The sequence below is a fragment of the Homo sapiens genome, chromosome 15 (assembly GCF_000001405.40).
Source record: "Homo sapiens chromosome 15, GRCh38.p14 Primary Assembly".
NCBI lineage: Eukaryota > Metazoa > Chordata > Mammalia > Primates > Hominidae > Homo > Homo sapiens.
This window is the reverse complement of record NC_000015.10, coordinates 30977148-30991057: the sequence shown is the minus strand read 5'-3', so window position 1 is coordinate 30991057 and position 13910 is coordinate 30977148. Positions and strand designations below refer to the sequence as shown.

Below are 13910 nucleotides of genomic sequence, written 5' to 3'. Positions count from 1 at the left end.
ACCTGGAAGCGACACTGGCAGTTTAAACATTTTTTATTATTAGGCTTCCAAGTCGATAATGAGCAGATCTTAAAAACAGCTCAGTTAATATGCGAAAGAATTTAAATGGGGGGCTGTGTGTCTTTCGCATGTGTCATCACTTAGAAAACAACATTTGCTGTAGCATTTTACGGAGGGTGGGGGGATTGAGATTTTGATTTATTTTGCTAATGTATTTCAGACTGACGATAAGATCAATTCGGAACCGAAGATTAAAAAACTGGAGCCAGTCCTTTTGCCAGGTAAACATTAGTTAGGATTCTAACAGATACTTTAGCAACGTATTTTGGTTTAAGATTATTCTGCCGACTAGTATCATGTGGTTAACTTCCCTTCTCTCATTAAACTTTCTCCAGTTAAAAGTCTAGTGACTGAGAGGAGAAAAAGGAACTGTCAAGAATGTCATTACCTCATTTCCTTTTTTGTCTCCCGAATTTCTTTTTGAAAAGATGTATATGTTTAATTGCTTGGGTAGTAAAAGTACTCTTTGCTGACGTGTTTGCCACTTATTGCATTAATGATTAATCATTTTAATGCATTTTGATAGTATAAAAAGACGCCTTTATTATGTGTGTGTCTCTATACCAATAACAGAGCTTAGTGAACTTTGAATTACTTGCTTGGCAATTGTTTTTTGAAGTTGTCAGCTGTATTTGCAAATTTGCTTGTTTCAGTTTAGAACCAGGCTTTTCCCAGCAGAGACACTTAATTGACATTTGGGGCCAGATAATTCATAGTTGGACGGGCAGGCTGTCCTGTGTATAGCAACAAAGATGGCCTCCACCCACTAGATGCCAGTAGTAGTACCCTTATCCCCCACCACCTAGTTGCGACCTAGTTGCCACACCAAAATGCCACCAGTCATTGCCAATTTTTTTTTGTCCCCTACCTCTGGGGGACAAAAATCTCACAGTTGAGAATCACTGCTTTAGAACAAAATTTGCTATAGGTGACCTTAGAGATGGAAGTAGGGATTGGTGGTAGAAAGGGGTTTGTTTTAGAGCATACAGAATATTGGTATGGTATTTTGAATTGTATAACAATTGTATAATAATTAGGAAAAGTCAGTTGTTTAATGCGATTATTAGGGGAAGTAGCCAGATACTTAGGAAAGCCTGTTTTAAACCTGAAATCGGCCGGGCACGGTGGCTCATGCCTGTAATCCCAGCACTTTGGGAGGCCGAGGCGGGTGGATCACGTGGTCAAGAGACCGAGACCATCCTGGCTAACACGGTGAAACCCCATCTCTACTAAAAATACAAAAAAAAATTAGCCAGGCATGGTGGCGGGCGCCTGTAGTCCCAGCTACTCGGGAGGCTGAGGCAGGAGAATGGCATGAACTCGGGAGGCGGAGCTTGCAGTGAGCCGAGATCCTGCCACTGCAGTCCAGCCTGGGCGGCAGAGTGAGACACCGTCTCAAAAAAAAAAAAAACCTGAAATCAAATACTAGTTTGTGTGGCTACTATCAGCATTGCAAAATCTGACTCATTACTTAAAGCCAAATCGGTAAAATAATTAGAATTTTGTAGGTAAAAATTGAACAAATGTGGAAACTTTAAAATTTTAAATATTATATAGGGACAAAATATTAAAAACACCAAACTTTGGTTCCATATGAAAGTTTAAAAAGTGTTTTTTAAACTTTACTATGGGAGTCATAAATATTTTCCCTTGATTTTGTTAGTGCTTTTCACTCAACAGTGTGTACTAATTAATCATTTGTACTTTTCCTCAGAGTGAACAGTAGAATTACTAAGTAACCCTTGCTCCCTGTGTGCTCTGTTTTAGTCTTAGTCACTCTGAGCATTTAAAATGCAGGGACGAGGAAACAGTACTCATCTTGAATGAGTGCCTATGAGCTATTGAACTTTGACTTCGTTTACTCTGAACAGGCCTGGTTCTTAGGCTTTGATTCCTCCACTCTGCATACTATGATTTCACACTCAGAAACAACATGGTCTTAGCTGTAAATGTCAGTGCTTGCTTTTTAATTTTTTAAAATTTTTTTTAAATTTTTTTTTTTTTTTTTTTGAGACAGAGTCTCACTCTTACTTGGGCTGGAGTGCAGTGGCGTGATCTCGGCTCACTGCAACCTCTGCCTCCCAGGTTCAAGCGATTCTCCTGCCTCTGTCTCCCAAGTAGCTGGGATTACAGGAGCCCACCACCACACCTGGCTAATTTTTCGTATTTTTAGTAGAAATGGGGTTTCTCCATGTTGGCCAGGCTGGTCTTGAACTCCTGCCCTCAGGTGATCCGCCCGCCTTGGCCTCCCAAAGTGCTGGGATTACAGGCGTGAGCCACTGCGCCTGGCCACTTTTTTAAAATTAGCTTTTAAATTTAAGATATGTGCTAAGAAAAGGTGTTACTAAGTATGCATAAACTTGAAGAACTTTCTCACTGAGGGTTATCAATTCTATAAAATGGCTAAAAGTCAGAGTTTTCTGGGGAAGTTGTAAACCAAGTTTCTGACTGTGCTTTTCTTGTCCCAGAAATGGCAGCTAAATTCCGTATTATTTTTAGAGAAATTCTAAAAGAGCTGTAACACTAAGTCTGAACCTTTTAGTTGCCCATTAAGGAATTCTCTGACCTGTGTTAATTTTTATTGCATTGGCGGCCAAATCATAGCTGAAATCTGTACATGCATACATGACGGCTCTATCACCCAGCATTCTGTTTGTACCTGACTTATCCTTACCCAACATTTAGCCGGTCCTGAATTAGGATGTCTTTTGCCCCCTTCCTCTCCCCTTCTGTTCTTACCCTCTCATTCTGGCCTTCCTGCACCCATCCTGGCTGTGTTCTGTCTGGCTGCCCTGTTGTGGTCTCTGTTTCCTGCTTTACCTCGCCTGTCACATCTCTCACTGCTACCATTTGCTCTTTGTTGGCCTGTAGCCTACTGCTCTACCCATGAAATCTGGAAGACAAGTGGAAAGTTACCGAACTATTGGTGATCTAAAGACCTAGACTAGGCTAGAGCTTTTACTAAGAGGGAGTGAATAATATAGTTCTTGCCTTTGTGACTATCAGAATCAATAGAAAACCTGGCCACATCACCTGTGGCTATATACAGGGATGCAGAAGTTATTGTTCAACATGGACACCGGGAGGGGAACATCACACACCGGGGCCTGTCGGGGGTGTTGGGGGTGGGGGATGAGGGAAGGGAGAGCATTAGGACAAATACCTAATGCGTGCGGGGCTTGAAATTCCCGGCGTCATCCCTAGATGACGGGGTTGATGGGTGCAGCAAACCAGCATGGCACGTATATACCTATGTAACAAACCTGCACATTCTGCACATGTATCCCAGAACTTAAAAAAAAAAATAAAAAAAAAAAGAATTAATTGTTAGAGATATGGTATTGCATGCTTTGCTTTGGCATAATGCCTTGGGTCCAAGGGTATCCTACTTCAGTTGCCCAAAGTTTGAACTTCTAATTCAATAAGCAGATGAAAATTAGAACACAAAATGAGTTGTTTATTTGTGTGCTGTCACCATGTGCACTGTTGGAACTTAAGCCTAATTTCAAAATGATCCTCATCTTTTATTAAGTAAAGAAAACAGAAGAAAATGACTAGTAATTTAATTTAGATTGTGGTTTATGTTAGTAATTTTCAGCTTTCCTGATACATGAAACTCTGAGATGGGTATTGTGCCTACTTCAACTTTGTGGTCTTGATGTCTCACAAAGTGCCAGGAATGTGGTAGACACTGAGATGTTTACTGAGGGACTGAACGAAAGGACCTCTCAGACCACCTGGCTTAAACTGTTACCTTACCCAGGCACACACACAGACTAACTTTCAGATTTAGGAGTAAAGGGAAGACTGTGTTATTTTATGCCAGACATTTCAAGAGATTTATGTCGGAGCCTGGAATTGAAATAGAGTACTCTGTCAAAGTAGTCAGCTTTTGTGTAGGCTTTCTCTTTATCTTCCTCTCATTATGTGAATTTCATTCTTTCAGTGATTATATTGTATATGTGTAAAATCACTCCAATACTTGAAAACTGAGTTTGACTTTTAAAGTGTGTGTGTGTATATATGTTTGTGTTCCAGTATATATTTGTTAAGAGCATGTAATGCCAGACTCTGTCCTGTTTAGCTGCTGGACTGGTGGATCGGTTCGGTGAGGATGTGAGTATCTCCTGGGTGCCAGGTCTGTCCTGGATAGCGAGAATGCTGGAGGTGTCATGTGCCTGTATCGCAGAAAGGCGTGGGGTGAGCCCTAAGCTGCCTGTTGACAAGGTAGAAGACTGTGACCTGGATCACTGGTACCCAGATTCCAGCCAGGGCCTGGTATCAGATTTGGATGAAGTTTTTACCAGCCCTTGGTCAAAGTGAGAAAATTAAGAAAAGTGCAGTTTTCTTTAATAAAGATAAATTTATTTGATTTAAAAGATTGTCTTTTATTCTGAGATTATGTTCTTCTAACTTACTTGGAATAGATACTTTTTTTGTTAAATGTTGGTGATAATAGCTGTAGCTTTAAAAAAGTTTTTAAGTTAACAAAATTAAAAAGTTAAAAACTCTTTATTGGTCCTTTAAATTAGTTTTGCACTATACCTGGTTTGGAATCTAAACTAGAACCTACTAGATGAGATTATTATAATACTATAGATACAATTTTGTGAGCACTCACACAGAGAACATTAATTATTTTGTCTGCCTAGGAGTACTGCCATTTTTTTGTTTGTGTTTTGAGACAGGGTCTCGCTCTGTCACCCAGTTTGGACTGTAGTGGTGTGATCACGGCTTACTGCAGCTTCAACCTCCTGGGCTCGAGTGATCCTCACAGCTCAGCCTCCCAAGTAGCTAGGACTACAGACGTGCGCCACCACACCTGGCTAATTTTTGTATTTTTTGTGGAGATGGGGTCCAACTATATTGCCCAGGCTGGTTTCGAACTCCTGGGCTCAAGCAATTGGCTCACCTTGGCCTCCCAAAGTGTTGGGATTATAGCCGTGAGCCACCACACCCAGCCCCCTTCCACCATCCTCTGAAAAATGCATCCTCCCTCTTTTGACAAATTATCCTTTCCTGACTAACTCCACCCAACCTTGGGTTCCAGTGTGGCCAGCAAGGTTAATAACCCACCCTGGACTGCAAGCATGAACACAGGTCTGCCTCTGGATGTTGTTAGGTTGGTACTAAGGGAAGAGGTCCTCTTTGGTAATGCTGCAAGTGGCCACAGTTCCAGAAGAATCTGTTGAAAAGAGTGAAGAACCCCAAGGAAGTGCACTAATGTGTGTTGAAGTCCCTGGGTTTCATTGTCCTTGCAGGCCAGGTGACACAAAAGCCTTGTATTCTTCTTTTTGCTAAGCTATTACCAGGCATGTTTCTGAACATACTTTGAACGAGGATCCTTAACTAATATAGCTTGCAGATTAATCATCATAACAGTCTTGTCAGCTAGGATACCAGTTTATCTCCATTTGACAGATGTGAAAACTATAGTTTGCTGAGGTTAAGTAACTTGCCCAGTGTCACACAGCTAGCAAGGCAGAGCCAGAGTTCTCTGTCCAGCTCCCAGGCTGTGCCACTAACTGCTAAGTAGCACGGCCCACCTGGCTGCACTGGTGACACTAGGGTACAGATTTATGCTTTGGAACTGTTGGGGAGTAGATTGGATGTCAGCCTAGAGGGAGTTCTCTAGTGAAGTAAAAAGAGCTCTGTCCTTGTCTTTGCCCTTTTCACAACAGTGACAGATTTTGACCCAGCGTGCAGAAGAACTTTCAGAGAATTTCAGCTGCCAGAAAATGGAATGTCTTAGGGAGGTAGTGGACTTCCTGTTGCTGGCTGTGCCGAAGCACAGTCTGGTGAAATGCCAGCAGCTTTGTATTGAGGATGTAAGATTTGCAGTGAGTGGGGCTTGATGGCCTTTGCTCTCTTCTCACCCCAGGGCATGCTCTTTTTTAAGGGAGAAGAGTTGAAATGCCAAGACTAACGATAATGAATTTGTTCTGCAGGTATTGAGTGTGTGCTTGATGCAGTTTGGCAGAAGGGTAAAATGCTGAGGAGATGGGATCCTGTTCTTAGACAGTTTCAGTTCACTGGAGAGATGCTTCAGTAGAGGAGAGAAAAAGTAGTAAGAGCTCAGAGGAAGGTCACCTAAGCCAGATTTGGAGTAGGGCAGGGGTGTCAAGAAAGATCTCTGGAAACAAATGCTTGTGCTCTGAATCTTGAGTGCCCGTTGAGCCTGGGCCCCTGTGCTGAGGCTGTGCGTCAGCTCAGTTCTTTCCCTGTTCGCATCTACAGTGCTCACAGCACTTTCATTCTTGAGATTAACTATTAGATAATGAATGCAGTGATTGTCAGAGTCTTTTGTAATCGGATCAGAAAAGCATACAACCATGGGCCATCTGGGAAATGAAAATAGCCATTGTTGTATAGATGTCTTGTTTATTTTTTACAAGCTCACTGGCCCGTACTGTTCTTGTTTTCTGTCTCACCATACGTCTTATTTCCTCAGTTGGGTTGTTAATTCCTTAAAGGCAAAGACTTTATCTTTCAAGTGTTTTATGTAATTCCTTTTTGTAGGTAGGCTTCATAAATGATTGTAGACTGATTTTTGTAGTATTTTAATTTGTGAATGCATTGTTTTTGAAAGACCAAAGGACTTGTAACACACCCTCAGAACAGTGAACAGTGTAACTGTACTATCTTAGCATTAGCTTTATACCTTACCCGTAGAGCCTTAGGAATGTTTGGAGCTGTCCATTCCTTAGGCTTTTGCTGCAGTACCTTAGGCCAGCATTTTCTTACCCCTCCAAACTCCTCACTATCGTTGTCAACACCGTTCATGAACCTCCATAAATAAAATCCTACTTAAGCAGGATAAAATCCAAATTCTTTAACCTTGTAATTTGCTAACACTGTACCTCACTGACTTCATTTCTCAGTATTTCCCAATATTGATATTTGCTTCAATCATGCCGCTTCCTTGGTCTCTTCCAGATGCCTTATTCCTTATTTAGGACCTTGTTACTGTTATTATCACACATTCTCTACTATCTCAATGCTCTTCTTCCTTCAAGATTTCATTCTACAATTTTTCCTGAGATCGGCACTATACCCTTCCTCCTGCCCCATCCTATCCTGAGTGCTACTCACTGGACTTGGTACTTGCTTTTTTACATTGTGTGTTAGTACCAGCATTAAAGATTTGTGTTTATCTTCCACATAGTTTCAATTTCCTGTGATAACTTTTGAGCCACTTTAATTCCTGAATTTACCTAAAGCTAGGGTGACCAGCTTGTCCCAGTTTGCTTGAGACTGTCCTGGTTTTAGTGCTAAAAATACCACATCCCAGGGAAACCCCTCTGTCCCAGACAAACTGGGGCAGTCACCCTACTGTTAAAAGCCCAAGTTAAGTTATGCTTTTGGCCTCTACACATCCCACAGGTTAATTAGCCACGTGTGCCGTGAGACTTTGCCTTAAACTGTGTTCCAACCTAAAATGTATGGGAAACATTATTTCTGTCCATCAAACGTGATGAATTTCTAAATGTATAAGGTGTTAGGAAAGATAATACAACATGGTTTTGAGGTCCTCAGGGAGTTAAAAACTTTCCTAGCCATATCATTTGGAGGTTTATTAACTGTAATTGCATTTCCCTTCTTATTTATATTTACAGATGAAAGGGTCTTGAGAAAATAAACTTGGATTTCTTGATTTCCTCCCAGGTGTTAGTAGAAACCTTTGGCTCATCATCCTCTAATTTAGAAGGTTTTTGCTTACCGCACACTGAAGCTAATTTCCTGCTTTTTCTGGCTTCATGAGGCTTCCTTGTGGCATCCTGGGAAGTGCTTGGTGCTGTAAATGGTCCCACCGTGGCTGATGGCATAGCACAGAGCTGGGAGAGAGGAGTCTGGTGGGTTCTCACAAGCAGGCCAGCCAGCCGTCTCTAGCACACCACCCTTTTACTGCATAAAAAGCACAGGCGTATAGTCTCCCTGAAAACTTCAGAACCTCTAGAGCTTTGAAGCTTTTATTCGGAGTTTTCTCTTCAAGGTCACTTAATTTAACATGTGAACAAGAGCAGTCTCAGTACCTTCTTTTTATATATCCTATCTGGGAAGAGGCCACTTTGTGTCTTCTTTTTCTTCCCTGTGTATAAGCTAGTTTTCTGGCCCACAGTGTTTCAGTGCATGGCAGGAGCTTATGACAGCTCCTCTTCAGCATTCCTTTTTTTTAAAATTATGAACAAATGACTTACGTGAGCAGACAGCTGTGCTACATGATCCAAATATTTTAAAGACTGGTTCTGCATGAACAAAATTTAGCATTATCAAATAAAACTCATGTCACTAACTCGACACTTAATTATTGTAATAGGAAGACCCAATTGTAGCATATCCTCAGAAGTGCCCTTCTTTTCTTTCTTCTTCCCCTGTATCCCTCTGTACTTCTGTTCTTTGCTCTCTTCCAAGGGCTCATTTCCATTCTGTAAGAAAAGGCTGTGTGGCGCTTAAAAGACCCTGGCCCAGAGAGTCCTTCTTTCACTTTTTTTTTCTTTTTTCTTTTTTTTGGCTGTTGTTAATGTTGTGTCTCTTGTTTATTTTCTTCTTTAGTAGTTTTATTTTGGAATGAATTTGAATTTGTAAGAGTTGTACAAAAGAGGATAGAGTTAATGTGAACTCTTCAGCCAGCTTCCGCTAATGTTAATAGCTTATGTAACCTTGGTGAATTTAGCTCAACTGAGAAACCAACAATACTATTAGCTAAACTGCAGGTTTTATTCGTATTTCCCTAGTTTTTCCACAAATGTTCTTTACCTGTTTCAGGTTCACATCCAGGATACTACATAGCATTTAGTTGTCGTGTCTCCTTATTCTCAATGTCTCAGTCTGTGACAGCTTTTTCATCTCATCTTTCAAGACCTTGACGTGTTTTTTTCTATTGAATTTGATTTTCTTTTTTTTCTTTTTCTTTTCTTTTTTTTTTTGAGATGGAGTCTTGTTCTGTCACCCAGGCTGGAGTGCAGTGGCGTGATCTCCGCTCACCGCAACCTCCAGCTCCCGAGTTTGAGCGATTCTCCTGCCTCAGCCTGTTGAGTAGCTGGGAGTACAGGTGCGCACCACCAGGCCCAGCTAATTTTTTGTGTTTTTAGTAGAGACGGGGTTTTACCATGTTGGCCAGGCTGGTTTCGAACTCCTGACCTCAAGTGATCTGCCTGCCTCAGCCTCCCAAAGTGCTAAGATTACAGGCATGAGAATGAGATTTTTATTTTGCCTCAAATAATACATATTAAAGCTCTTTAAACATAGAAATATACTACTACAAAAGGAAAAATTTTATAATTACTAGATTTCTGTTCTAACAAACCACCCCCTAGAAACATCATCAAATTGACTTAAAAATGTAGACGTAATTTCAGACTTAGAGAAAAGTTGCAAATAACAGAAGAATCTGTGGATACCCTTTCCTTAGATTCCCCAATAAAACCTTGACGCTTTGGAAGATTATTATTCAGGTAGTGTCTTGTAGTATGCCTCTTGGTTTGGATTTGTCCGATGTTTTCTTTTGATTAAGCAGAGGTTATGGATTTTGGGAAAGACCCACAGAGGTGGTATCCTTTGCCCTTGTGTCATGTGAGCAGGCACAAGACATCAACATGATTGGTTATTGGTGAGGTTAACCTCGATCACTTCAGGTTAAAGTGATATCTGTCAGGTTTCTCCTCTAGAAAGTGACTGTTTTTCCTTTTCTGTACTGTTTGTTAGAAACAAATCACTAAGTGCAGCCCACATTCAAGGGATTGGGAATTAAGCTCCACTTCCTGGAGAGAGGAGAATCACGAATTTATGGGCATACCTTAAAACTACCACAGTAATTAGTCAATACTTTTGGGAAGATAGCTTTGTGCTTATACAAATAACCTGTTTCTCCTTAAAGTTTGGCTCTCTGAATTTAGCATTCATCAATGCATGTTGCACACAGCAGTCATTCAGTCTATGACATTGAGTCCATGATAGTTTCTTGATCTTTACTGTAATGTTCTAATCATGATTTTGTTTCCTTATTCCTCCTACATTTATTAATTGGAATTCTTCTGTGAGGAAGATTTGTCTCTTCTCCGCCATTTATTTATTTATTATTCAGTCATCTGTTGACAACAGTATGGATTCACAGATACTTTTTAATTTACTTTCTAATCCGGCATTTTTGTTATTTCTTTTGTTGCTCAGATTGTTCCAGCTTTGGCCATTGAGAGTTATTTCATCTTGGCTCTTGTATCCTTTGGAAATGCCGTCCCCCCGCTTTTCTTCACCCCCACTTCCATATTTTCTGGTATTCTGGCATTACCAGAGGCTACAGACTCATCTTCTGTTTCCCCTGCCCCAGCCTTGGAATCAGCCATTTCTCTAAAGAGCCCTAGTTCTTTTTATTGGAAAATGGTATTTTAAAAGCAAGAGCTGGGTACTGAGTGTGTATGTTGTTGCTGGAGCGTCACTGCTTTTAGCACTTTCAGAGGGCAGAGCTAGAAAACATACACACATGTACCAACCCAGGTGTACACACATCTGTTACTGCATGTCTATTTGTATGTTTATTAAGGCAAGCATAAGTTCATTCTGCTATCTCAAACTCTTAATCTAGCCCCTCGGGGTTCATTTCCAAATTCTTGCTTTTGCTTTTTGTTGATGGAGTATGGGCAGTACAGCAGTTAAACCTGGTTTCCATATTTACTTTCTGCTGAGTGCTGTAGCTCATTGGTGAGAAAGGGATCTTTTGACTTGACTTGCATGGACACATTCTAGTAGGAAGGTTGTCTGTCCTCATCACTCCTGTGAGTGGTCCTCTAGAGCTCTTTGAAATGGCTACAACATTGCAGATCAAAAACACCTGCTTTTCAGGTGCTTCACTTCTCACCTTTCAGATGGGACATGCCCAGTTGTGTCTTCTAAACCTTGTTTCAGATAATTTTAAGAGTTGTCGCTTCAGTAACTATCTCTAACACAGGGATCAGCAAACCTTTTCTGTGAAGTGCAGTAAATATTTTAGGCTTTGCGGACCATAAGGTATTTGTTTCAAGTACTCAGCTCTGTCTTTGTCCTGTGAAAGCAGCCATAGATGGCACATGAACAAATGAGTATGGCTATGTCTTACTAAAATTTCATTTACAAAAACAAGGTTTTGTATTTGGCCCGTGGGCCATGGTTTACCATCCGTTGGACCCATTAAGTATATTCTCCTCCTCTTCTTTGTCTCATTCTCACTGCGTTCATAGGCTTGATACGTTAACATTCGTGCATCAGTAAAAGAATCTGGCTTCTAGAGAAGAAGGGCTGTCCATGGGCGTTTGACTCCTAAATACAGTTTGTTTATGGTACTAGTGTGGCCACAAGGCTCTGCCACACAAGCTCTGTCTCTTCCTTCCTGTTATTACTTCTGCTTCCCTTCTCAGGAACCTGAAATCATATGGTAGTTTGTTTGTTTAAGTGATTTTTTTTTTTGAGATGGAGTCTAGCTCTGTTGCCCAGTCTGGAGTGCACTGCAACCTCCACCTCCTGGGTTCAAGCAGTTCTCCTGCCTCAGCCTCCCAAGTAGCTGGGGCTACAGGTGCGCACCACCACGCCTGGCGCACCACCACGCCTGGCTAAATTTTTTTTTTTTTTAATAGAGATGGGTTTCACCATGTTGGCTCAGGTGGTCTCAAACTGACTTCAGGTGATCCACCCGCCTCAGCCAAAGTGTTGGGATTATAGATGTGAGCCACCACGCCCAGCCTTTAAGTGAATTTTTATTTGAGTATAACATGCATAACAAGTTTGTGTGGATCATAAGTCTTAGAAGTGGATGAATTTTTGTAGCAAGGTTTGAAGAGTCTGTTTTTAGATGAGTTTGCTAAGGTGGCACAGTATGTGATGATTCCGTGTAAAGAAGTCATTGTTACAGGGCTGTGTCCTCTATCTGAACTGGCATGGTTAGTTTAGTTGTTTAAATTGAGGGCCTGCTTACAATTCATATCTAAGATTTACTGGAGAGGAGAAAGGGTTGAGTATTCAGTGGCCCAGAATCTGATATGGGAATTGGTGAGGTTTATGTTCAAGGAGCCAAAGAAGATTTAAATTTTATGTATTTGAATTACTCAGTGCGTCTATATATATATATATTTGGTCATCTTAAATTTTTTTTCTCGTTAGAATTCAGTTAAGGCCAATATTTGAACTTTAATAAGTTTTGGTACTTGCTACACTGCAGTACATTTAATTGTATGTAATTATAGGGAAAGACTATGGGAATTGAAGTCAGAACACTTGGTTATAAGTGCGAAGTCCACTACTTCTTTTTAAGATCTTAGGAAAGTGATTTAACCTCTTTGGGTGCAAATCCTTTATCTGTGTATTAAGGAAACCATCTGCCTTCCTCACCTTACAGGTTGTTGAAAGAATCAGACAGGACAGATGTCCTATTTATAGCTCTTTAATGCATATGTAGGCAAGCAGTGGCAGTTCTGTGACTCTTCTCTAACTTACATATCATTTACCCAAACAGCCCTTATCTTCCAGCCAGCTTGGCTGCTTAGCCATATTGAATTACTAGTTTCTCTTATCTAGAACAACTTCTGCCCAACTCATGGTGGACAGAACCAAGTGTCATGAAGTGATTTTATTCATTCTTGCATTCAGCACTCTTTTCACAGGCACCTACCCTGTGCCAGACACTGTTCTAGGCACTAACATTTCAGCAGTGAATAAAGTCAGTCCATCTTCTACCCTCATGGAGCATATAATCCTGAGGGTAATGCAGGCATTAATTTAAAAATATATAAATATAATTGTAGCTATCATGAGTGCTGGAAATACAATGCTTCGATATGTGAATGTAAACTAGATAGGAAGATTTTTTTAAAGAGGCATTCCCTAGACAGTGGTTGGACTAAGGTAGAAGAAAAGAATATTCCATGAAATGGGAAGAAGCATGGTCCCATGAGGGATTAATAGGCCACCACTGTGGGCAGAGCAGTGAGGGTGAGGAAGGCTGGTAGCTGGCTGGGTATGCAGGGCTCCCAGCCATGAGAGGGAGGCTTGTCTTCAAAGTGGAAGTTAACTCAAGCTGTTGGCACTGTGAATTTGACATGAGCAGATTTTAGGTAAATGTTAAGGGGCAGTTACTAAAACTAGCCTTGTACATTTTTAAGAACTTCGAATAAAAGTTATTGCAGCTCAAATTTGTTATAACCTATTTGTTAAAGAGAGGATTGTTTTGAGACTATAGTTCCATTCTTCATGAATTGGTAGGAGTTTGGAGTTTGTCAGCAAACATTCTATCGGGCTAAAGGTTTTTATAATGAAAGAAATAGGCAAAGTGGATCAGTACACTCACTTTTCTACCATTGACCCTGGAGACAGATGGCTTAAAATGTTCTGCGTCTAGTTGACTTTTAGATCTTGAAATTAAGGTTTAATGATGACCAAGCTTTAAATAAATTGTAGAAAAGTATTCTTTCAAAAGTACATTATAACTTTTATATTGGTTTCTTATATTTATTTCTTTTAATCTTTTCTTTTAACTCAAACTACGTTTTAAGGTTTTGTTGCCTACTAAGTTATAATCTGAGTGCAGAAGGAAACTTGATTTGGCTTTATGGAATACATTTTACATTCAGTGAAGCTGAGCTCTGTTTCTCATTCCTTACAAAAGGAATCAAAGGCATTGGTTTGAGAGATCAAGTCATGTGTTAATAAAACACAAATATTCCATCAAGTAATACTCTGAAGGAGCAGGTGTAGTTTATTTCTTCTCCAGAAAGTCTTCCAGCAGATAAATAATGAGAGGTAGTATGGCATAGGAAAAAAGTACACTGAAGTCAGCCTTTCTGGTTCAACCAGCTCAGACCCCTGAGCTATTTTTGCCTCAGTTT

General features: G+C 40.5%; 1 protein-coding gene across 6 annotated transcripts in view; it reads left to right on the top strand.

Annotated features, from left to right (window-relative positions):
* Positions 1-13910, top strand: part of MTMR10 (myotubularin related protein 10) — a 72913-nt gene that overhangs the window by 571 nt on the left and 58432 nt on the right. For all 6 annotated transcript variants that reach the window (XM_011521737.4, XM_047432771.1, XM_047432770.1 and 3 more), the window contains exon 2: positions 221-281. In XM_011521737.4, the coding sequence (XP_011520039.1) occupies positions 221-281 (61 nt within the window). The remainder of the gene's footprint in view (positions 1-220; positions 282-13910) is intronic.